This window comes from Homo sapiens, chromosome 10 (assembly GCF_000001405.40).
Source record: "Homo sapiens chromosome 10, GRCh38.p14 Primary Assembly".
Classification (NCBI taxonomy): domain Eukaryota; kingdom Metazoa; phylum Chordata; class Mammalia; order Primates; family Hominidae; genus Homo; species Homo sapiens.
This window is the reverse complement of record NC_000010.11, coordinates 1220152-1245268: the sequence shown is the minus strand read 5'-3', so window position 1 is coordinate 1245268 and position 25117 is coordinate 1220152. Positions and strand designations below refer to the sequence as shown.

The 25117-nt window shown below is 50.9% G+C and overlaps 1 protein-coding gene across 1 annotated transcript in view, besides 2 other annotated features; it reads left to right on the top strand.

Moving 5' to 3' along the window:
* The window catches only part of ADARB2 (adenosine deaminase RNA specific B2 (inactive)), a 560213-nt gene that overhangs the window by 492257 nt on the left and 42839 nt on the right, over positions 1 to 25117 (top strand). The window contains exons 5-6 of the mRNA NM_018702.4: positions 2970 to 3138; positions 11424 to 11575. Of these exons, the coding sequence (NP_061172.1) occupies positions 2970 to 3138; positions 11424 to 11575 (321 nt within the window). The remainder of the gene's footprint in view (positions 1 to 2969; positions 3139 to 11423; positions 11576 to 25117) is intronic.
* Positions 2637 to 3147: an enhancer, noted in NCBI's record as "H3K27ac-H3K4me1 hESC enhancer chr10:1284185-1284695 (GRCh37/hg19 assembly coordinates)". NCBI's record gives its function as "activates a minimal SCP1, AML or CMV promoter by ChIP-STARR-seq in naive H9 embryonic stem cells {active_cell/tissue: H9 hESC(naive)}" and the evidence as "EXISTENCE:reporter gene assay evidence [ECO:0000049][PMID:30033119]".
* Positions 3148 to 3659: an enhancer, noted in NCBI's record as "H3K27ac-H3K4me1 hESC enhancer chr10:1283673-1284184 (GRCh37/hg19 assembly coordinates)". NCBI's record gives its function as "activates a minimal SCP1, AML or CMV promoter by ChIP-STARR-seq in naive H9 embryonic stem cells {active_cell/tissue: H9 hESC(naive)}" and the evidence as "EXISTENCE:reporter gene assay evidence [ECO:0000049][PMID:30033119]".

The following is a 25117-nucleotide window of genomic DNA, read 5'->3' as shown; positions in this document are numbered from 1 at the left end:
AGCACATTTTCTGGCTTCTTCCTCTCCCTCATCTTCTGTGTAAATTTCCCAAATCCTGTGGATTCGGTCCTTGCTGTGCTCTCTGGGTCCCTCCCACCAATCCACTCCTGAGGGTGCTTCCTAAGTCCTCATGCACCATGTCCAGCCCCAGCCTCCCACCCAGTGTCCTGGCCCCTTCTCTCCTCCTGTGCAACCCAGCACTCACTCATGGGCAACAGTACTGCTGTCCTTCCGGAAAACCCTTTCACAGCTCCCATTGTCTATTGGTGAAGAGCTAGATCTTCAGGGTGGTACTCAAGGCGTCTGTGACTGATTTCCACCCACCTTTGAAGCTTCGCCACTTTCCCACACACATCTCCTACGGGCTCCAACGGCCCGTAGAATACGCAGATTATGCAGAATATGCCTGTGCCCTTTCCTATCCGTGCCTCTGACCACCATGCCCACTCTGCCTAGGACGCCTCCTCCTGCCACCTGTGCAGAAGCTCCCTGGGTGTGAGTCCGTCTCTCCCTTTTCCTCCCTCACTGTCATGCTGGTGACATTCCATGTACAGCACTTCCGCGACATTTCTCATACGACATCTCATGCTGCAGCCGTTTCTGACCGCGTCATCTCCCTCGGTCCAGGCTTCGCGTCTCCTGTGTTGGGAACGTGGTGCTGGCGGTGGGGGTGAGAATCATGAAAACTGAATATGCAAACACTTCTTGGGCCACGTAATTGTGCTGAGTGTGGCAGAGTCTGGAGCCAAACGGAGCTGGGAATCAATGAGGGGTAAAGGGAAAGCAGTTGCTTTTTTCTACAGCTCCAATTTCCACGGAATCCAAAGAGAAGGAGCAGGCCGGGGCCTCACAGGCCACAGCACCTATTCCTGAAGAGCTGTCCGTTTCCACCAGAGACTGCATGCGCACCGGTCGTGAACACTGAAACTGGTTAGGAATCGTTATCAATGTGTTTCCCATTTCTCTAAATACCAGCTTTAACGAAGCTGGAACCTGAGGGGTGGTTTCTGCATCACGATGTCATCCTTGTGAACCATTTCTCAACAGTCCACATGTCACTGACGGCCTGAGTGAGATGGTGGCTCCCACCCCTGGCAGAGTCAGTAGCAGCTGCCCACCCCAGCTCCCTGTAGCCTTAGATCCTGGTCCCATCTGCTCGTCAACTTCTGGGACCCCCGCTAGGGGGCAGCCCCCGCACCCAGGATGGCTGAGAGAGGAGGAGGCCTGGACCTGGAACCCGGCAGCTGCTCACGAGCTTTCCTGGGGGAGGAACCTCAGGGCGGCTGGTCGTGTCCTGTTCTGATTAAAGCGGCGTGGGGAAGTCTGGTCACTTCCTGAGCTCAGGAGCAGTCCCGTCCCACCAGGGAGGGGGCAGTGGGTAGACAACAGGACCAGGACCATGGAGTTCTCTTCGGGCACAGAAACGGGGGCTGCTGGGAGAAGCTGGGATGAGCGGAGAGAGCAGTGGACATGGGCAGGAGGCGGGGGCTGTGCTAGACCGCTTTGCCTGGAAGGAAGGAGGCTGGACAGACAGACCCCAGCTGCAGAGCCATGGGGGCAAGGATGCTGCTGGGCCTCTGCAGGTTACTTCCCCAGTGCTCGGTCCCTCCCGGCCCCGAATTCTCCCTGGCTGTCACTGGTAGCTGCTGACACCACCCTTTTATCTCACGAAGAAAGATCCCACGGTGAGGCCCAGAGAGGGCAGATGCCCTCAGGGCTCAAGAACTAAGTTCTCAGGGGAGAAAAAGTCACATCAGAGGAACAAGTGTGTGAGAAGCGAGAAGCGCTCATGACCAGCCAGCACTGTTTTTATTTAAGATGGGAGGGAAGCCTGCTTCTGGCGTGACATTAATTAGTCGATTTTATTTAAGATGGGAGGGAGGCCTGCTTCTGGCGTGACATTAATTTGTGTGTCACCTCTTCCAAGAAATGGTCCGGACGTGTATTTACAGGTAACTCTGTGGACGTGGCCGCGGTCAGCGGCTAACGCGTCTCCGTGCTGCCCTCCCTTGGCCTGCGATCCGGGCCCAGCCAGTGGCTGTCACATCCCAAGGCTCCTGGGCACCCGCAACATTCCTGCCACCTCCAGCCGAAGGGCCTGGATGATGGATTTGTTATTGGATCGGCAACACTGACCCGTCTAATGACACGGACTCCCTAGGGAGCCCTTGCTTGGAGTATTTGGTGGAAATTCTGACTCGTGTCCTCAAGGAATTCACCATCTAAGTGCAGAGAAAATACACATCCACACAGACCTGTTAGAGCACAGCAAACATTGGCTTGTGTCTTCCAGCTTCTCCTCCTTAAACAAAGTGATGAATATTATACTTTAAGGACATTACGTTGGGGGTTGTTTTTGAGGTTTCTTTGTTGTTTGTTTTCAGTCCCTGAAGAGAGTATCATTTTTGTGGATGGGGTTCCTTTGACTATGGTTAAAATGACACATCCAGCCTCCTTTCTGTGTTAGTATGACAGGTTCATCAGCTCCTGTCCTGTGTTTCTGTGTTAGGGTGAAGGGTTCATCAGCTCCTGTCCTGCCCTGATCCCGTTGGAGGACAGGAGAAAGCACAAAGGTGGTTAGAGGTTGGGCAGGAAGCCCAGGCCGCAGCTAGCACTGCTCCCACTCACAGGGGACCTGGGACTCAGGTGGAGAAAACTGTCCTGGTAGTAAGTTTGACCTCAAAACTCTGCTCCTATGGTGCCTAAGGAGCATTTCAGCAACCTTAAGGATAGCAGAGGCACTCTGAGCGCTGTCTCAGGCCACCATGAAGTAGATGGGAATCCCTCAGGCGGGCGGTCACCCGTGACAGCCTGGAGCACACAGAAGCCTCGCTTCCCAGCTCTCAAAACGCAGTGTTTCCAAGGTTTCCTAACCCAGGGAAACCGCTGTTGTGAGACCCTGAAAAGACCGAGGAGGAGGGAGACGGGGGCCGTGGGCCACGCTGCTCTGATGCTATCTGTGTCCCCAGGCCTGGATGCTCGGCAGGCGCAGGTCGTGGCCCTGTCCTCGGGGACCAAGTGCATCAGCGGCGAGCACCTCAGTGACCAGGGGCTGGTGGTGAATGACTGCCACGCGGAGGTCGTGGCCCGGCGGGCGTTCCTGCACTTCCTCTACACGCAGCTGGAGCTGCACCTGAGGTGAGCGGCTGGGGACGGGCTCCAGGGAAGGCGGACGCCGCGGCTGGGGGCTGCCAGGGAGCAGATGGGGCCCCATGCCTGGCTCAGAACACGCTTCCCTCTATCCTGGCACAGGGTGAGCCAGAAAGCATCCCTTTTTATTCAGACTAGAGACATCCCTGGCACACCAATAAAGCCGCCGTGTGCGCTGGGAAGATGCTAAAATTCCAGGCTTCCTCCTTACTCCACGTTTCCCTCCAGAAAACACCTTTGCAGCCCTCGTCCTTCCGGGCAAGGCCACCCTCTCCTGGCCTCGGTTCCCCATGCCCCCCACATTCCTGCACTGCCCCCTTTTCCGCCGTTGCCCTCAGAGAACGTGAGTGCAGTGCCCAAGGGGTGGCTTGGAGACGCGCTGTCTTCTTGCCTCCTGTGCCAAGTACATGTGAAGAGGCCGCTGAGGCCTTGAGAACTGTGCCCCAGTATTGGGATTCCCAGGGTTCCCTGGCCTGCTCTGGCCATCAGGCATTGGTGGCTGTCATGGGGCAGCCTCCTGTCCCTGAGACACTTTAGAGAGGAGCAAAACCCAGGTGGTTTGCAGCACGTGGCCTCCGCGACACACCCCCAGGCTGGGCCATTCAGTCCCAAGGGCTCACTGTGGGCTCCTCTCCTGAAACGCTCCCTCCTGTGTCTGCTGTCTACTCTTTCACATCCCTTGAAGCCATCTGCGTTCCTCAAATCTACGAGTAATGGGACCTTGGGGGGCTTTGGCAAGGGTCATCTCCATGCCCATTAGCTGTGCAAAAGCCACACAAAAGGAGAAAGGCCCACGTGTAGCCCTAAGCAGACGCTGCTGAAAACAACACCTTAACACACTCAGCTCATTCTTTTTTTTTGAGATGGAGTCTTGCTCTGTCGCCCAGGCTGGAGTGCAATGGCATTATCTTGGCCCACTGCAACCTCTGCCTCCCGGGTTGAAGCAATTCTCCCACCTCAACCTCCTGAGTAGCTGGGTCTACAGGCGTTCACCACCACGCCTGGCTAATTTTTGTATTTTTAGTAGAGACGGGGTTTCATCACGTTGTCAAACTCCTAACCTCAAGTGGTCACCCTATCTCGGCCTCCCAAAGTGCTGAGATTACAGGCATGAGCCACTGTGCTCAGCCCACACTCAGCTCATTCTTATCTGAGCCTCTGAGCAGGGAGCCACAGGTTGAACCCATCCCTCAGTTCCCTGAGGCCTGCGGGGTGCAGCAGGAGTTGGATATGGGGGAACAGAAATATCTCAGAATGTAGGGAAGGATTTCTCCTAAATGTCCACCTGCTCAACTGGGACTATCACCAAGATCCCTCACTCTTGTTTGTGTCAGAGAAGGCAACTGGACCAATATTTACCAGGAGCTGGTTACATGCTTGGTGCTGTGCCACCAGCTGGGGGGGTCCACAGACAGGTGCACCCGACGCCTGCCCTGCATGGGGAACCAGCACAGGGGAGGGGGAGTCCAGGGCAGCCACGTGGCTGACAGGCCCTGTGCCGGGGCCCAGGCTTGGGATACATTTGCCAAGGGTCCTGGGGGAGGCAGCCGGGGCAGTGGGGGATGGTGGCTGTGGGCAGAGTGCAGGCACAGAGGCAGGAAGACTGCTGGATGCCGCAAGGACTTCCTGTGGAGAAAATGTCTGTTCTGTTGCCTGTGTGATCTCAGGGCCCCACAGAACACAATCCATCACCCATGGGGCAGAACGTGTGAAAACAGCAAGACCGGCAGAAGGTAGATGGCCAGGAAGCAGGGGAGTAAACACCAGGACACAGGGAGTAAACACCGGGAGGCAGAGGGGAGTAAACACCGGGAGGGAGAGGGGAGTAAACACCGGGAGGCAGAGGGGAGTAAACACCGGGAGGCAGAGGGGAGTAAACACCGGGAGGCAGAGGGGAGTAAACACCGGGAGGGAGGGGGGAGTAAACACCGGGAGGCAGAGGGGAGTAAACACCGGGAGGCAGAGGGGGAGTAAACACCGGGAGGGAGAGGGGAGTAAACACCGGGAGGCAGAGGGGAGTAAACACCGGGAGGCAGAGGGGGAGTAAACACCGGGAGGCAGAGGGGAGTAAACACCGGGAGGGAGGGGGGAGTAAACACCGGGAGGCAGAGGGGAGTAAACACCGGGAGGCAGAGGGGAGTGAACACCGGGAGGCAGAGGGGAGTAAACACCGGGAGGCAGAGGGGAGTGAACACCGGGAGGGAGAGGGGAGTGAACACCGGGAGGGAGAGGGGAGTAAACACCGGGAGGGAGAGGGGAGTAAACACCGGGAGGCAGGGGGGAGTAAACACCGGGAGGGAGAGGGGAGTAAACACCGGGAGGCAGAGGGGAGTAAACACCGGGAGGGAGGGGGGAGTAAACACCGGGAGGCAGAGGGGAGTGAACACCGGGAGGGAGGGGGGAGTAAACACCGGGAGGCAGAGGGGAGTAAGCACCGGGAGGCAGAGGGGAGTAAACACCGGGAGGGAGAGGGGAGTAAACACCGGGAGGGAGAGGGGAGTAAACACCGGGAGGCAGAGGGGAGTAAACACCGGGAGGGAGGGGGGAGTAAACACCGGGAGGCAGAGGGGAGTGAACACCGGGAGGCAGAGGGGAGTAAACACCGGGAGGCAGAGGGGAGTGAACACCGGGAGGCAGAGGGGAGTAAACACCGGGAGGCAGAGGGGAGTGAACACCGGGAGGCAGAGGGGAGTAAACACCGGGAGGGAGAGGGGAGTAAACACCGGGAGGCAGGGGGGAGTAAACACCGGGAGGGAGAGGGGGAGTAAACACCGGGAGGCAGAGGGGAGTAAACACCGGGAGGGAGAGGGGAGTAAACACCGGGAGGCAGAGGGGAGTAAACACCGGGAGGGAGAGGGGAGTAAACACCGGGAGGCAGGGGGGAGTAAACACCGGGAGGGAGAGGGAGAGGGGAGTAAACTCCGGGAGGCAGGGGGGAGTAAACACCGGGAGGGAGAGGGGAGTAAACACCGGGAGGGAGAGGGGAGTAAACACCGGGAGGCAGAGGGGAGTAAACACCGGGAGGCAGAGGGGAGTAAACACCGGGAGGCAGAGGGGAGTGAACACCGGGAGGCAGAGGGGAGTAAACACCGGGAGGGAGAGGGGAGTGAACACCGGGAGGCAGAGGGGAGTAAACACCGGGAGGAAGAGGGGAGTAAACACCGGGAGGGAGAGGGGAGTATCGCCAGAGGGAGGGAGAGGGGAGTAAACACCGGGATGCAGGGAGTAAACACCGGGAGGCAGAGGGGAGTAAACACCGGGAGGGAGAGGGGAGTAAACACCGGGAGGCAGGGGGGAGTAAACACCGGGAGGGAGAGGGGAGTAAACACCGGGAGGGAGAGGGGAGTAAACACCGGGAGGCAGAGGGGAGTAAACACCGGGAGGCAGAGGGGAGTAAACACCGGGATGCAGGGAGTAAACACCGGGAGGCAGGGGGGAGTAAACACCGGGAGGGAGAGGGGAGTAAACACCGGGAGACAGAGGGGAGTGAACACCGGGAGGCAGAGGGGAGTAAACACCGGGAGGCAGAGGGGAGTGAACACCGGGAGGGAGAGGGGAGTGAACACCGGGAGGGAGGGGGGAGTGAACACCGGGAGGCAGAGGGGAGTAAACACCGGGAGGGAGAGGGGGAGTGAACACCGGGAGGCAGAGGGGAGTAAACACCGGGAGGAAGAGGGGAGTAAACACCGGGAGGGAGAGGGGAGTAAACACCGGGAGGGAGAGGGGAGTAAACACCGGGATGCAGGGAGTAAACACCGGGAGGCAGAGGGGAGTAAACACCGGGAGGGAGAGGGGAGTAAACACCGGGAGGCAGGGGGGAGTAAACACCGGGAGGGAGAGGGGAGTAAACACCGGGAGGGAGAGGGGAGTAAACACCGGGAGGCAGAGGGGAGTAAACACCGGGAGGCAGAGGGGAGTAAACACCGGGATGCAGGGAGTAAACACCGGGAGGCAGAGGGGAGTAAACACCGGGAGGGAGAGGGGAGTAAACACCGGGAGGGAGGGGGGAGTAAACACCGGGAGGGAGAGGGGAGTAAACACCGGGATGCAGGGAGTAAACACCGGGAGGCAGAGGGGAGTAAACACCGGGAGGGAGAGGGGAGTAAACACCGGGAGGCAGGGGGGGAGTAAACACCGGGAGGCAGAGGGGAGTAAACACCGGGAGGCAGAGGGGAGTAAACACCGGGAGGGAGAGGGGAGTAAACACCGGGAGGGAGAGGGGAGTAAACACCGGGAGGGAGAGGGGAGTAAACACCGGGAGGCAGAGGGGAGTAAACACCGGGAGGGAGAGGGGAGTAAACACCGGGAGGCAGGGGGGAGTAAACACCGGGAGGGAGAGGGGAGTAAACACCGGGAGGGAGAGGGGAGTAAACACCGGGAGGCAGAGGGGAGTGAACACCGGGAGGGAGAGGGGAGTAAACACCGGGAGGCAGGGGGGAGTAAACACCGGGAGGCAGGGGGGAGTAAACACCGGGAGGCAGAGGGGAGTAAACACCGGGAGGGAGATGGGAGTAAACACCGGGAGGCAGGGGGGAGTAAACACCGGGAGGCAGAGGGGAGTAAACACCGGGAGGCAGGGGGGAGTGAACACCGGGAGGCAGAGGGGAGTAAACACCGGGAGGCAGAGGGGAGTAAACACCGGGAGGCAGAGGGGAGTGAACACCGGGAGGCAGAGGGGAGTAAACACCGGGAGGGAGAGGGGAGTAAACACCGGGAGGGAGAGGGGAGTAAACACCGGGAGGCAGAGGGGAGTAAACACCGGGAGGGAGAGGGGAGTAAACACCGGGAGGCAGGGGGGAGTAAACACCGGGAGGGAGAGGGGAGTAAACACCGGGAGGCAGGGGGGAGTAAACACCGGGAGGGCAGAGGGGAGTAAACACCGGGAGGCAGAGGGGAGTAAACACCGGAGGGAGAGGGGAGTTAACACCCGGAGGCAGGGGGGAGTTAACACCCGGAGGGAGAGGGGAGTTAACACCCGGAGGCAGGGGGGAGTTAACAACCGGAGGCAGGGGGGAGTTAACCACCGGAGGCAAGAGGGAATTAACCACCGGAGGCAGAGGGGAGTAAACACCGGGAGGCAGAGGGGAGTGAACACCGGGAGGCAGAGGGGAGTAAACACCGGGAGGCAGAGGGGAGTAAACACCGGGAGGGAGAGGGGAGTAAACACCGGGAGGCAGAGGGGAGTAAACACCGGGAGGCAGGGGGGAGTAAACACCGGGAGGGAGAGGGGAGTAAACACCGGGAGGCAGAGGGGAGTAAACACCGGGAGGGAGAGGGGAGTAAACACCGGGAGGGAGAGGGGAGTAAACACCGGGAGGCAGGGGGGGAGTAAACACCGGGAGGCAGAGGGGAGTAAACACCGGGAGGCAGAGGGGAGTAAACACCGGGAGGGAGAGGGGAGTAAACACCGGGAGGGAGAGGGGAGTAAACACCGGGAGGGAGAGGGGAGTAAACACCGGGAGGCAGAGGGGAGTAAACACCGGGAGGGAGAGGGGAGTAAACACCGGGAGACAGAGGGTAAACACCGAAGAAGGAAATGCAGGCATGTTCGTTCAGCGCCCACTCCGATGGGGCAGAGGTGGGGCTGCTCAGCTCCAGCTTCACAGCTGGTGGGAGTTTTGCAACAGGCAAATCATTCACCATCAGAGAGGCTGGGAACTCTCCCGCCCCACCTGGGTCATGGCTGGAGGCAGGGGGGAGTAAACACCGGGAGGCAGAGGGGGAGTAAACACCGGGAGGCAGAGGGGAGTGAACACCGGGAGGCAGGGGGGAGTGAACACCGGGAGGCAGAGGGGAGTAAACACCGGGAGGGAGAGGGGAGTAAACACCGGGAGGCAGAGGGGAGTAAACACCGGGAGGGAGAGGGGAGTAAACACCGGGAGACAGAGGGTAAACACCGAAGAAGGAAATGCAGGCATGTTCGTTCAGCGCCCACTCCGATGGGGCAGAGGTGGGGCTGCTCAGCTCCAGCTTCACAGCTGGTGGGAGTTTTGCAACAGGCAAATCATTCACCATCAGAGAGGCTGGGAACTCTCCCGCCCCACCTGGGTCATGGCTGGATGCAGAAGGAAAGCCGTTTCGCCACGGTTCTCCACTCCCACCTGTGCTGGTGACGGAGCCCAGGCCTTCCTACAGCTCTTTTCCTCCTTTTAATCACACACAAGCTGCCCACTCAGGCTACGTCAAACCCACAGTCCACTGTGAGGTATGGCCATGAGCAGCACTGGCAAATCCACAGAATCACAGGTGTGTAGACAGATAGATGTGGGCGAACAGCAGTGGGAAAAATTGGCTTGTTAAAAGATCATGGTGGGGCCCAGTGTGGTGGCTCTCGCCTGTAATCCCAGCTCTTTGGGGGGCCCAGGCGGGTGGATCACCTGAAAGCAGGGGAGTAACACCAGGACACAGGGAGTAAACACCGGGAGGCAGAGGGGAGTAAACACCGGGAGGGAGAGGGGAGTAAACACCGGGAGGCAGAGGGGAGTAAACACCGGGAGGCAGAGGGGAGTAAACACCGGGAGGCAGAGGGGAGTAAACACCGGGAGGCAGGGGGGAGTAAACACCGGGAGGGAGAGGGGAGTAAACACCGGGAGGCAGAGGGGAGTAAACACCGGGAGGGAGAGGGGAGTAAACACCGGGAGACAGAGGGTAAACACCGAAGAAGGAAATGCAGGCATGTTCGTTCAGCGCCCACTCCGATGGGGCAGAGGTGGGGCTGCTCAGCTCCAGCTTCACAGCTGGTGGGAGTTTTGCAACAGGCAAATCATTCACCATCAGAGAGGCTGGGAACTCTCCCGCCCCACCTGGGTCATGGCTGGATGCAGAAGGAAAGCCGTTTCGCCACGGTTCTCCACTCCCACCTGTGCTGGTGACGGAGCCCAGGCCTTCCTACAGCTCTTTTCCTCCTTTTAATCACACACAAGCTGCCCACTCAGGCTACGTCAAACCCACAGTCCACTGTGAGGTATGGCCATGAGCAGCACTGGCAAATCCACAGAATCACAGGTGTGTAGACAGATAGATGTGGGCGAACAGCAGTGGGAAAAAATGGCTTGGTAAAAGATCATGGTGGGGCCCAGTGTGGTGGCTCTCGCCTGTAATCCCAGCTCTTTGGGGGGCCAAGGCGGGTGGATCACCTGAAGTCAGGAGTTCAAAACCAGCCTGGCCAACATGGCAAAACCATCTCTACTAAAAATACAAAAATTAGCTGGGTATGGTGGCATGCACCTGTAATCCCAACTACTCAGGAGGCTGAGGCAGGAGAATCGTTTGAACCCAGGAGGCAGAGGTTGCAGTGAGCCAAGATTGCACCACTGCACTGCAGCCTGGGACAAAGCAAGACTCCGTCACAAAAAAAAAAAAAAAAAAAAAAAAAAAAAAAGATCATGGTCGCTCGCACCTGTAATCCCAGCACTTTCGGAGCCTGGGGCAAGTGGATCGCTTGAGCTCAGAAGTTCCAGACCACTCGGGGCAACAAAGCAAGACCCTGTCTCTAAAAAAAAGTAAATAAATTAGCCTCGCATGGTGGTGTGCACCTGTAGTCCCAGCTACTCGGGAGGCTGAGGCAGGAGGATCACTTGAGCCCAGGAAGCTGAGGCTACAGTGAGCCGTGATCACGCTACTGCACTCCAGCATGAGCAGCAACAGAGCAAGACCTTATCTTTAGAAAAGAATAATAATAACCCTGACAGGTAAATGTCAAGGCGGGGGTAAGAAAGCAGGGTTTCTGCCAGTCATGTTCGCATTCACGTAGTTTCATTGCTGCCTGTTCTAGAAGTGTTGGTACAGGGGAAAGACACACTATGGGGTGTGAAGAAGGAGAAACTTGGGGGCCAGGCGCAGCGGCTCACACCTGTAATCCCAGCACTTCGGGAGACTGAGGTGGGTGGATCACCTGAGGCTGGGAGTTCAAGACAAACCTGGCCAACATGGTGAAACCCTGTATCTACTAAAAATACAAAAATGAACTAGGCGTGGTGGCGCATGCCTGTAATCCCAGCTACTCGGGAGGCTGAGTATCACTTGATACTCAAGGCAGAAGAATTGCTTGAACTCAGTGGGTGGAGGTTGCAGTGAGCAAATATGGCACCATTGCACTCCAGCCTGGGTGACAGAACAAGACTCCGTCTCAAAAAAAAAAGGAAAAAAAAAAGGAAAAATATAAAGGAAAACTTGGGGAACAACTCTACAAAACAGGACTCAAGCGTTCACCTGGTTGGAACATTTCTGGTTTGGTTTGTGATAAATGACCCCAAACCTCTTTGTGACCCTAGCAAGCGGCGCGAGGACTCAGAGCGATCGATATTCGTGCGGTTAAAAGAAGGTGGCTACCGGCTGCGAGAGAACATCCTCTTCCATCTCTACGTGAGCACCTCCCCCTGTGGAGACGCAAGACTCCACTCTCCCTACGAGATCACCACAGACCGTAAGAGACCATGCTTTTACCTTCTGTAGGCCAACAGCCCCCAGCTCCCTCTATCTGGGACTCTGTCCTGGGCTTTCACAGCCCAGGGCAGGGGCGCGGTGTGTGGGGCCCTTGGGTACTGGAAGGGGATTGAGTCTACAATTAGTGGGATAACCATGCCTCCAAAATCTTAGTCTGAAATGCTCAAGTGATTGGCAGAAGAGTAGTCTGAGGCCTAAAATTAGCTACCTAATTGCCATAGTTCTCTGCTTTAATAACTCAGACAATCCCTGTGTCCTGGGCTGGGAAAATGGAATGAAGGGAAGGCCAGTGAGAGTTACGCAGGCTGGGAGCAAATTCTCACTGGCTCTGCTTGCCTTTGCTCACAGCGTTGGGGAGGAAAAAAGCTCAGCTTTTGCAACCAAGCCAGGGATGAGTGATTCCCTGCAAAGGGGTTTCCCCAGGTGAACTATAAAGTTCCACTGCAAACCCGCCCTGTGAGCATTTATCGATGGAGGTGAGACAGAACGCATCCACGCAGCCCCTGCCCCTCTGTCCTCTCCATCAGCAAAGGGCAGTGATGCTGCGATTGCCAGGGTCGGAGGGCAGGGCGTGGGGCAGGGTGGGGCTCTCCCTTGAAGCCACCCTTGACATCAGCAACTCCATGATAAAAGAAAAGGTGCTTCAGGGAAACTCCTCTCTTTCATTTTAATGATGAAATCCTATTGCTTAGTGCTATCTGCATATGTCACACACATATATGTATATACCACATACACCACACACACACCACATATACCACACATGTATACCACACACACCACACACATACAACACACACACCACATACACTACACGCATACCACATATACCACACACATACCACATATAGCACATGCATATCACTACACACAAACCACATACACCACACACATACCATATATACCACACACACCACATACCACATACACTACTCATGTCACATACACTACACACATACCACATACACTGCACACACCACATATACCACACACGTCACAAGCACCACATGCATACCACATATACCACACACAGACCACATACACCACACACATCATATACCACAAACACATACCACATATACCACATGCATACCACACACCACACACATAGCACATACACCACACACACATACCACATATACCACACATCACACACAGCACATACCACATACACATGCATAGCATGTACACTACACGCATGCCATATATGCCATACATGCATACCACATACACTGCAAACACACACCACATATACCACACACATGCCACAAGCACATGCATACCACGCATACCACACACACCACACACAGACCACACACACCACACACAGCATATACAACACACATGTATACGACATACACCACGTGCATATCACATACACCGCACACACATTCACATGCTCCCACACCCTTTCCAGAAGCAGCTCCAGGCAGATCTTTCAATGCAGGCAATGCAGTGGTGTATGTGGTGTGTGTGCTATGTGTGCGGTGTGTGTGCGGTGTGTGTGCTATGTGTGTGGTGTGTGTGGTGTATGTGATATGTGTATGATGAGGAGTCCAGTCCTGATGAGGGAGGAAATCTCTGGCAGACATACATGGACAGCACACAGCTATTAAGGCTTGGCTTTGGCCTGACTCTCCTCCGGTGGAAGGCTACATGGTGGTTTAATTACCAAGGTAAGGAAAATTAAGCATTTTTGTTATGCCCTGCTGTTGTCAGGCTTGTCATGCAGCCTCCACCAAAGACAAGAAGGTGTGGGGATAATGGTGTCTTTAATCTCACACGAGCTTAGCCTGATTCTGCAGTCCTCACATGGGATGCTGGCCCAGAAACATTCCTCCTCCTTTTTGCGGACTTCCCTCCAGCCCCACTGCTTTCCCTTTGGGATGGCTGGATACGGTTCTCTGTAAGTGGATCCTCTGGCATGGCTGGATAGGGTTCTCTGTAAGTGAATTTGAATTTGGGTAGTATTTCCACACCCTTTGGAAATTAAATGAGAGAATCCCGTCAAACTGGGAATGAAGAAAAGGAAGCCTGTTCAACCTCAGGGACTTTTAAAGGAACTTCCTGCAGTAGGGAGAGAGAGGCAGGGGCAGCCTGAGTACCTGAGAAGTGGACACAGCCCTCCCCAGAGGGAAGGGAGCCCAGTGTGGCCCCACAAGATCACACAGGGCACCCCCCACTACCAGGCCAACTCAGGAAGAGAGAGACAGAAAAACCACCAGGAGTGGCTTCATTTTCACTGGACATATTCAGCAAGCCAGAGCTACATGATACCAGCTCACCCTATAAAACTGTGAAATCTGGTACACTGCACAGCTATTGGGAATTTTGTGAAATCTGGTCCATTGGACAGCTACTGGGAATTATCTTTCCATTCTTCTTTAAAGGGTTGGCATCGTAAAGACCCAGCTAGGAACCCTCAGAATTGAGAGGAAAAGTCCCGCCAAATGCTTGGGGTTGGTGCTGAGTTATCCAGCCTCTTCCTTGGCTAATATGTCCCTGGTGGGAGTTGGGAGAGGGCTGAGTGAGAACAGCAGGAGCCTTGTCCACGCCTGAGACCCCGTGGTCTCCCCAGGGGACAGTTCTAGTCCACTGGGCCTCCCACATCTCTGTACATCGATCACCAACTGCAGCCTCTCCAGCCAGCCCTCACTTTCTACTGCAATGTCTGTGCTTTAGAAAAACAAATACGTTCTCCGAGGCACCCTGAGGTTCACTTCCAGACACAGATGTCTTTTATTTCATGGTGCTTTTAAGAAGTGGCAGGTGCTGGTAGGAGAAAAAATAAAGCATTTTTCTCACATTTTTGCAGCAGATATGCCAGGCAAAATTGAGAAACTCCTGCCTGTGCTGTGCCTCTGCATTGGGCTGGTGCCACTCCTCCGCTCTCCCATCTGGAGAGCGTGGAGAAGGAAGGTACTTGGTGAACTCTCCTATAACAGGGACTCATCTGCCAAAGTCACTCAGTAAAGGCAGGAGAACTCAAGTTCCTGCTGTTCTCTGCTTGGAAGGACCCTTCAGAGAGCTGGCTCTGCATCCTTTGAACTGCCTGAGGAAGGCAGAGACCTTCAGGAACAACTCCTGCCATTTCCCCTGCAGAGAGATGCTTTAAGCTCCTTTACAATAAGAGGCAGGGGTCTCCACGTTGCTAACTCAGGCGGTGTATGTCTTTGTTACCCTTTAAAGAGGGTTGGACCATGGATAAGGGGATGCCAGTGGCCAGGCTTTTGCTGTGAGGGGCTCCTCCAGGGCTAGCCAAGGGCAGTGTCGATGGTGACAAGCCCCCAAAGGAAAGGCTGGCGGCGGGAGCTGGACACATCCAGTTTGCACTGTTCCCAGAGGTCTGCAGCTGGCACTGCCTCCCTCCTATGGATTAACCCTGCAGAAACCCAGCGGCACTGCCCCTCCAATTCAGAGGACCACATTCCCAAAAGAAGCCCAGGGAACAAAGGAAGCCCTGAGGGCCATGATGTTATTCTCACAAATGCAGAGGCCGCAGAGTGCAGAGAGCTCAGTCCCCTCCACCGAGACCTTTGCTGGGGGCCAGAGGAGCTCATCTGAAACCGAAGGAGACTCTGCACAGAGGTTTCAGTCTTCTCGAGTGCTCTCTGCCTCTGGCCCCTTCTGGACCTGCCATGTCTCCTCTCACCAGCACAGTGCTTGGTCCTGGTCACTTGAGCTCATCCCTTCCTCAGTCTCCCCTTTGGCCTGCATCGAGCGATTGTGCATCTCCACAGTGGCCACGCCTGCTAGCCCCTCTCTCAACTGTGCCAGACTTCTCCCTTTCTCACACATATATACCCACACACACACACACACACACACGTAAGCACATGTGCACAAAAACATACATAAGTACATGTACACGCACACACATAAACACATGTACACAGAAGCACATATGTGCACACATGTAATCACGTGCACATACAAACAAGCACAAGTGCACACATGAACACGCATACATAAGCACATGTGCACACACAAACACATACATAAGCATATGTGCACACACAAGCACACGACACGTATCTGATGCATCAGATCTATCAATATAACTATGACGTGATTAAGTCAAAAAGAAGTTTGGTGCCCAAGATTGTTCCCCCTTCTTTTAAAAATGAAGGAACACAGAGTAGGGCATAAGAAAAAATTTCTGTAGATAGGTTTAAATAATCATGATAGTAAGTATCATGTAAAGGCCCAGGAGAGAAGTGAGTCTGACTTGGGGTTTCTAGGAGCACACTTCTGACTCTCTGGTGGCTGCTGAGCAGCTGGCTCCCGGCAGCAACCTGCTCCAACAGCTCAGCAGGACCAGGAATTCCCCAAGCCCCAGCCACCCGAGGCCCAGGCTCAGGGGCTCCAAGTCTTAGACACAACACAAGGGCCCTGGGGTTGCCATCCAGCCCCACTTTCCTGGGATGCATGTGGCTCGAGAAATTCTAGATGGCCCTATTTTATTTTTCCCCTCAAAAACATTTGTCTAGATCATAAATTCCCCATTCCTGGAGGCCTCAGACATGGTATCAATGCCAATTGGTCTCAGGTATTTTGGGAGCTGTGTCACCTGCTAGCTTCGGAAGGCATTCAAGTTTGTTGTTTCCAGCTCTGGCTTATCTATCAGGGTCCCAGGCCAGTGTTTACCAATGCAGCTCACCCCATGCACTCTGGCCGAGATTCTGATGCATTCGGGGCAGAGGGGCATCCAAGACTCTAGTTTTCTGAGCACAGGTCGGGTTTTGAGCCAGCAGGTTTGAACTCCTTAAATCATCTCTTCAGACTGGGCATTTGTTTCCTTGCTGGCTTTGTAGAAAGGGCTTGGAGGCATGGACGGCCTGGTAGCCTGCCTGTCTGCAGAGGCCAGGCAGAGCTTATGGCTGGACTCCCCGCTCTGTGGCATCACAGGCAGGAATGAAAAGTGTTCGTGGTGCATCGCATGCGACCGAGGGGAAAGCTGCTTTCGCGACAGAGACCGCAGACTCAGTCTTCAATGTCATGTGACCCAGGGCTACTCCATTCATCTCAAGCGACTCAAAACTGCCACATCTGTGGCTTTCCCCTGGACCTAGAGGGGCCAGGTCAGTTAAGGCAGGGACAAATGCCTGAAAGACATTTATTCCCACACCAGGAGAACATGCTGTGTGTGTCTATGTTAGAGTCAGGGTTCCAATGACTGCTGTCAGCACAGACTCACGAGGGCGACGGGTCCTTTAGTGGCCCTGGGAGGCCTGGGATAGAACTCAGGCAGTTCTGAAAGAGCCCAGATGGAGCAGAAGATGAGGATCTCTGTACTTCACTGTGGTTGAGCAGCTCCTCTCCTCCCAACCCACCAACGACCTGCCTGCAAATTCTTCTTTCTTGGCATGGTTTTTAAATAACCTGGTAAACTCAGTTCTTACAGCCATTTTCTGAGAACTTAGCAGCTTAAATTCTCCAGTCTGTGTCCAGAAAATGCCAAGAAAAATAGATGATGTCATATATTTACCTACAAGTACATGCTATGAGCCTAGTACGTTTGTTCTAAGCCAATTCCATTCAACGACTAGAAAGGTAGTTGAAGAGATTTAACGAAAATCCCATAGGAAGTCAGGGAATATAAAATACAGTTCCTTAAATTCCTGCTTCAGATTTTCCCATTGAGTTACAGAAATATGCAAAATATGATAATATCCGTGCATTGCAGGATAATGAATTTTAATGGCCTTATAATCCAGCATCATCACTATCATCATCATCATCAATCAAATATGGCAAAGTGCACCCACGTGGACACATGGTAACTTCTGTGGATATTATTATTACAATGAATACTAGGTTGCTTCACAGGCAGACTTTCTGGGATATGCCTTTTGAAGACAGTTTGAAAATCTAAAATTTATTTGGTGTTTAAAAATATTTTCTTCTTTTCTCATGCCTGTGGTTTGTTTCATTTTTGGTGCTCTCTCTCCCCCTTGTGATGGTAGCAACCATGCATCGCTTTTTAGATAAATCTTTAGCTCCCCAGGGGACAAACCTCTTGTTGTTTGTCTCCAATTCCTTTTGATTCTCCCCTAAAAATAAAAGATTCACTTGAACAATTTTCTAAAGCACATCCTCATTTAGAAATGAGGATCTAGGGGGAGGAGCCAAGATGGCCGAATAGGAACAGCTCCGGTCTACAGCTCCCAGCGTGAGCGACGCAGAAGACAGGTGATTTCTGCATTTCCAACTGAGGTACCGGGTTCATCTCACTGGGGAGTGCCAGACAGTAGGTGCAGGACACTGGGTGCAGTGCACCGTGCTTGAGCTGAAACAGGGCGAGGCATCGCCTCACCCGGGAAGCGCAAGGGGTCATGGAATTCCCTTTCCTAGTCAAAGAAAGGGGTGACAGACAGCACCTGGAAAATCGGGTCACTCCCACCCTAATTCTGCACTTTTCCAACAGGCTTAAAAAATGGCATACCAGGAGATTATATTCCACACCTGGCTCGGAGGGTCCTACACCCACGGAGTCTCGCTGATTGCTAGCACAGCAGTCCAGATCAAACTGCAAGGCGGCAGTGAGGCTGGGGGAGGGGCGCCCGCCATTGCCGAGTTAGTTGTTTGATTAGATAAACAAAGCAGCCTGGAAGCTCAAACTGGGTGGAGCCCACCACAGCTTAAGGAGGCCTGCCTGCCTCTATAGGCTCCACCTCTGGGGGCAGGGAACAGACAAACAAAAAGACAGCAGTAACCTCTGCAGACTTAAATGTCCCTCTCTGACAGCTTTGAAGAGAGTAGTGGTTCTCCCATCATGCAGCTTGAGAGCTGAGATCGGGTGGACTGCCTCCACCTGACCCCCGAGTAGCCTAACTGGGAGGCACCCCCCCAATAGAGGCAGACTGACACCTCACACAGCCGGGTACTCCTCTAAGACAAAACTTCCAGAGGAACGATCAGGCAGAAGCATCTGCGGTTCACCAATATCTGCTGTTCTACAGCCACCGCTGCAGATACCCAGGCAAACAGGGTCTGGAGTGGACCTCTAACAAACTCCAACAGACCTGCAGCTGAGGGTCCTGACTGTTAGAAGGAAAACTAACAAACAGAAAGGACATCCACACCAAAAACCCATCTGTACATCACCATCATCAAAGACCAAAGGTAGATAAAAGTACAAAGATGGGGAAGAAAACAGAGCAGAAAAACTGGAAACTCTAAAAATCAGAGCACCTCTCCTCCTCCAAAGGAATGGAGTGCCTCACCAGCAATGGAACAAAGCTGGATGGAGAATGACTTTGATGAGTTCAGAGAAGAAGGCTTCAGACGATCAAACTACTCTGAGCTACAGGAGGAAATTCGAACCAATGGCAAAGAAGTTAAAAGTTTTGAAAAAAAATTAGATGAATGGATAACTGAATAACCAATGCAGAGAAGTCCTTAAAGGACCTGATGGAGCTGAAAATCAAGGCACGAGAGCTACATGACAAATGCAGAAGCCTCAGTAGCCAATGCGATCAACTGGAAGAAAGGGTATCAGTGATGGAAGATCAAATGAATGAAATGAATCAAGAAGAGAAGTTTAGAGAAAAAAGAATAAAAAGAAATGAAGAAAGCCTCCAAGAAATATGGGACTATGTGGAAAGACCAAATCTACGTCTGATTGGTGTACCTGAAAGTGATGGGGAGAATGGAACCAAGTTGGAAAACACTCTGCAGGATATTATCCAGGAGAACTTCCCCAATCTAGCAAAGCAGGCCAACATTCATATTCAGGAAATACAGAGAACGCCACAAAGATACTCCTCGAGAAGAGCAGCTCCAAGACACATAATTGTCAGATTCACCAAAGTTGAAATGAAGGAAAAAATGTTAAGGGCAGCCAGAGAGAAAGGTCGGGTTACCCACAAAGGGACCCCATCAGACTAACAGCTGATCTCTCGGCAGAAACTCTACAAGCCAGAAGAGAGTGGGGACCAACATTCGACATTCTTAAAGAAAAGAATTTTAACCCAGAATTTCATATCCAGCCAAACTAAGCTTCATAAGTGAAGGAGAAATAAAATACTTTACAGACAAGCAAATGCTGAGAGATTTTGTCACCACCAGGCCTGCCCTACAAGAACTCCTGAAGGAAGCACTAAACATGGAAAGGAACAACCGGTACCAGCCACTGCAAAAACATGCCAAATTGTAAACACCATCAAGGCTAGGAAGAAACTGCATCAACTAATGAGCAAAATAACCAGCTAACATCATAATGACAGGATCAAATTCACACATAACAATACTAACCTTAAATGTAAATGGGCTAAATGCTCCAATTAAAAGGCACAGACTGGCAAATTGGAAAAAGAGTCAAGACCCATCAGTGTGCTGTATTCAGGAAACCCATCTCAGCTGCAGAGACACACATAGGCTCAAAGGGATGGAGGAAGATCTACCAAGCAAATGGAAAACAAAAAAAGGCAGGGGTTGCAATCCTAGTCTCTAATAAAACAGCCTTTAAACCAACGAAGATCAAAAGAGACAAAGAAGGCCATTACATAATGGTAAAGGGATCAATTCAACAAGAAGAGCTAACTATCCTAAATATATATGCACCCAATACAGGAGCACCCAGATTCATAAAGCAAGTCCTTAGAGACCTACAAAGACACTTAGACTCCCACACAATAATAATGGGAGACTTTAACACCCCACTGTCAAAATTAGACAGATCAACAAGACAGAAAGTTAACAAGGATACCCAGGAATTAAACTCAGCTCTGCACCAAGTGGACCTAATAGACATCTACAGAACTCTCCACCCCAAATCAACAGAATATACATTTTTTTCAGCACCACACCACACCTACTCCAAAACTGACCACATAATTGGAAGTAAAGCTCTCCTCAGCAAATGTAAAAGAACCGAAATTATAACAAACTGTCTCTCAGACCACAGTGCAATCAAACTAGAAAGAAACTCACTCAAAACCACTCAACTACGTGGAAACTGAACAACCTGCTCCTGAATGACTACTGGGTACATAATGAAATGAAGGCAGAAATAAAGATGTTCTTTGAAACCAATAAGAACAAAGACACAACATACCAGAATCTCTGGGACACATTCGAAGCAGTGTGTAGAGGGAAATTTATAGCACTAAATGCCCACAAGAGAAAGCAGGAAAGATCCAAAATTGACACCCTAACATCACAATTAAAAGAACTAGAAAAGCAAGAGCAAACACATTCAAAAGCTAGCAGAAGGCAAGAAATAACTAAAATCAGAGCAGAACTGAAGGAAATAGAGACACAAAAAACCCTTCAAAAAATTAATGAATCCAGGAGCTGTTTTTTTGAAAAGATCAACAAAATGTGATAGACCACTAGCAAGACTAATAAAGAAGAAAAGAGAGAAGAATCAAAGAGATGCAATAAAAAATGATAAAGGGGATATCACCACCGATCCCACAGAAATACAAACTACCATCAGAGAATACTACAAACACCTCTATGCAAATAAACTAGAAAATCTAGAAGAAATGGATAAATTCCTCGACACATACATCCTCCCAAGACTAAACAAGGAAGAAGCTGAATCTCTGAATATACCAATAACAGGCTCTGAAATTGAGGCAATGATCAACAGCTTACCAACCAAAAAAAGTCCAGGACCAGATGGGGTTCACAGCCGAATTCTACCAGAGGTACAAAGAGGAGCTGGTACCATTCCTTCTGAAACTATTCCAATCAATAGAAAAAGAGGGAATCCTCCCTAACGCATTTTACGAGGCCAGCATCATCCTGAAACCAAAGCCTGGCAGAGACACAACCAAAAAAGAGAATTTTAGACCAATATCCTTGATGAGCATTGATGCAAAAATTCTCAATAAAATACGGGCAAAACGAATCCAGCAGCACATCAAAAAGCTCATCCACCATGATCAAGTGGGCTTCATCCCTGGGATGCAAGGCTGGTTCAACATACGAAAATCAATAAACGTAATCCAGCATATAAACAGAGCCAAAGACAAAAACCACATGATTATCTCAATAGATGCAGAAAAGGCCTTTGACAAAATTCAACAACCCTTCATGGTAAAAACTCTCAATAAATTAGGTATTGATGGGACGTATCTGAAAATAATAAGAGCTATCTATGACAAACCCACAGCCAATATCATACTGAATGGGCAAAAACTGGAAGCATTCCCTTTGAAAACTGGCACAAGACAGTGAGAGGGATGCCCTCTCTCACCACTCCTATTCAACATAGTGTTGGAAGTTCTGGCCAGGGCAATCAGGCAGGAGAAGGAAATAAAGGTTATTCAATTAGAAAAAGAGGAAGTCAAATTGTCCCTGTTTGCAGATGACATGACTGTATATCTAGAAAACCCCATCGTCTCAGCCCAAAATTCCCTCAAGCTGATAAGCAACTTCAGCAAAGTCTCAGGATACAAAATCAATGTACAAAAATCACAAGCATTCTTATACACCAATAACAGACAAACAGAGAGCCAAATCATGAGTGAACTCCCATTCACAATTGCTTCAAAGAGAATAAAATACCTAGGAATCCAACTTACAAGGGATGTGAAGGACCTCTTCAAGGAGAACTACAAACCACAGCTCAATGAAATAAAAGAGGACACAAACAAATCGAAGAACAATACATGCTCATGGGCAGGAAGAATCAATATCGTGAAAAAGGCCATATTGCCCAAGGTAATTTATAGACTCAATACCATCCCCATCAAGCTACCAATGACTTTCTTCACAGAATTGGAAAAAACTACTTTAAAGTTCATATGGAACCAAAAAAGAGCCCACATCACCAAGTCAATCCTAAGCCAAAAGAACAAAGCTGGAGGCATCATGCTACCTGACTTCAAACTATACTACAAGGCTACAGTAACCAAAACAGCATGGTACTGGTACCAAAACAGAGATATAGACCAATGGAACAGAACAGAGCCCTCAGAAATAATGCCGCATATCTACAACCATCTGATCTTTGACAAACCTGACAAAAACAAGCAATGGGGAAAGGATTCCCTATTTAATAAATGGTGCTGGGAAAACTGGCTAGCCATATGTAGAAAGCTGAAACTGGATCCCTTCCTTACACTTTATACAAAAATTAATTCAAGATGGATTAAAGACTTACATGTTAGACCTAAAACCATAAAAACCCTAGAAGAAAATCTAGGCAATACCATTCAGGACATTGGCATGGGCAAGGACTTCATGTCTAAAACACCAAAAGCAATGGCAACAAAAGCCAAGATTGACAAATGGGATCTAATTAAACTAAAGAGCTTCTGCACAGCAAAAGAAACTAACATCAGAGTGAACAGGCAAACTACAAAATGGGAGAAAATTTTTTGCAACCTACTCATCTGACAAAGGGCTAATATCCAGAATCTACAATGAACTCAAACAAATTTACAAGAAAAAAACAACCCCATTCAAAAAGTGGGCGAAGGATATGAACAAACACTTCTCAAAAAAAGACATTTATGCAGCCAAAAGACACATGAAAAAATGCTCATCATCACTGGCCATCAGAGAAATGCAAATCAAAGCCACAATGAGATACCATCTCACACCAGTTAGAATGGCAATCAGTAAAATGTCAGGAAACAACAGGTGCTGGAGAGGATGTGGAGAAATAGGAACACTTTTACACTGTTGGTGGGACTGTAAACTAGTTCAACCATTGTGGAAGTCAGTGTGGTCATTCCTCAGGGATCTAGAACTGGAAATACCATTTGACCCAGCAATCCCATTACTGGGTATATACCCAAGGGATTATAAATCATGCTGCTATAAAGACATATGCACACATGTTTATTGTGGCACTGTTCACAATAGCAAAGACTTGGAACCAACCTAAATGTCCAACAATGATAGACTGGATTAAGAAAATGTGGCACATATACACCATGGAATACTATGCAGCCATAAAAAAAAGATGAGTTCATGTCCTTTGTAGGGACATGGATGAAACTGGAAACCATCATTCTCAGCAAACTATCGCAAGGACAAAAAACCAAACACCGCATGTTCTCACTCATAGATGGGAATTGAACAATGAGAACACATGGACACAGGAAGGGGAACATCACACACTGGGGACTGTGGTGGGGTGGGGTGAGGGGGGAGGGATAGCATTAGGAGATATACCTAATGCTAAATGATGAGTTACTGGGTGCAGCACACCAACATGGCACATGTATACATATGTAACAAACCTGCACGTTGTGCACATGTACCCTAAAACTTAAAGTATAATAATAATAATAAAATTAAAAAAAAAAAAGAAATGAGCATCTAAAAACTATCCTTATTTACCTTGATATTGACCTCAAAAGACAAGGGTTTTATCTAGGGTTTTATATAGGTTAATAAGCACTGTAATGAAGAGTCTGATGACTTGGACTGTCAGAATTGGACCAGAATGTTTGGATGGATTTGTGAGCATCTATGTAGACACAGCAGTCAGGAGTTTGAGGTTCTACACTTTCACTGTCTCAGGCACACTCTAAATCCACTACAGATCATTTATGGCCAGCTCACTGCAATTGCTGGTTGGACTGGCATTTTGTCAGCCTTAAGTGGCATCTTCAACTCCTTCCCACCTCTCACAATTAGCCAGGAAAGAGCCAGAGGAAATGGGCTCTGCAGGATCACCGACATTCAAGCCACCCTGGGGCTGCTCAAACTCATCAGGGAGCCTGTGGAGAAGGCATCCCAAGACTGAACACCTCCAAAAATAAACACTCAGGAGCAACTCATGCACCTGGCTCCTCAGGCAAAATTAGTCTAACCTGAAAGCTTTGGGTTAACTCCTAGGAACTAGCTGTTAATTAAAGCAGGGCCTCCCTGTTGTCATGGCATTAACAGGCTATCAAGTGTACTTCATGGAAAGTTAGTTGTGCAGTAGCAACTGGTAAAAATTTAGAAAGGCCTTACAATATAATAGGCAACTTTCAAGATCTCGAAAAAGACCACAATAGTTAAAACGTTGGGAGAATATAAGAATACTATAACAGAAATGGAGGGACAGCAACAACCACATTCCCTGAGAAAATATCCCCCAAATGAAAGAGTAAAGTCCCTAATATTGTGGTAATGTTGTGGAAACTGTTAGGTGTGATGGCTCCTCCATGCTTTCAATGTTGCCTTCCGCAGAAAGTTGATGTTCATAAAGACCCCACCTGCAAAAAGTCAGTTTAAACCAAGTGTTTTGAGTCATACGAACTATTTTATGTTCAATTTATCATCACCACCATCATCACCATCACGACCATCATCACCACCACAATCACCATCATCACCACCACCATCACCATCATCATCACCATCATCACCACAATCACCATCATCCATCACCACCACCATCACCATTACCACCATCACCACCATCACCACCACCATCACCATTACCATCATCACCACCATCATCACCACCACCACCATTATCACCACCATCATCACCATCACCATCATCACCACCATTACCATCATCATCATCACCACCATCATCACCACCATCATTACCATCACCATC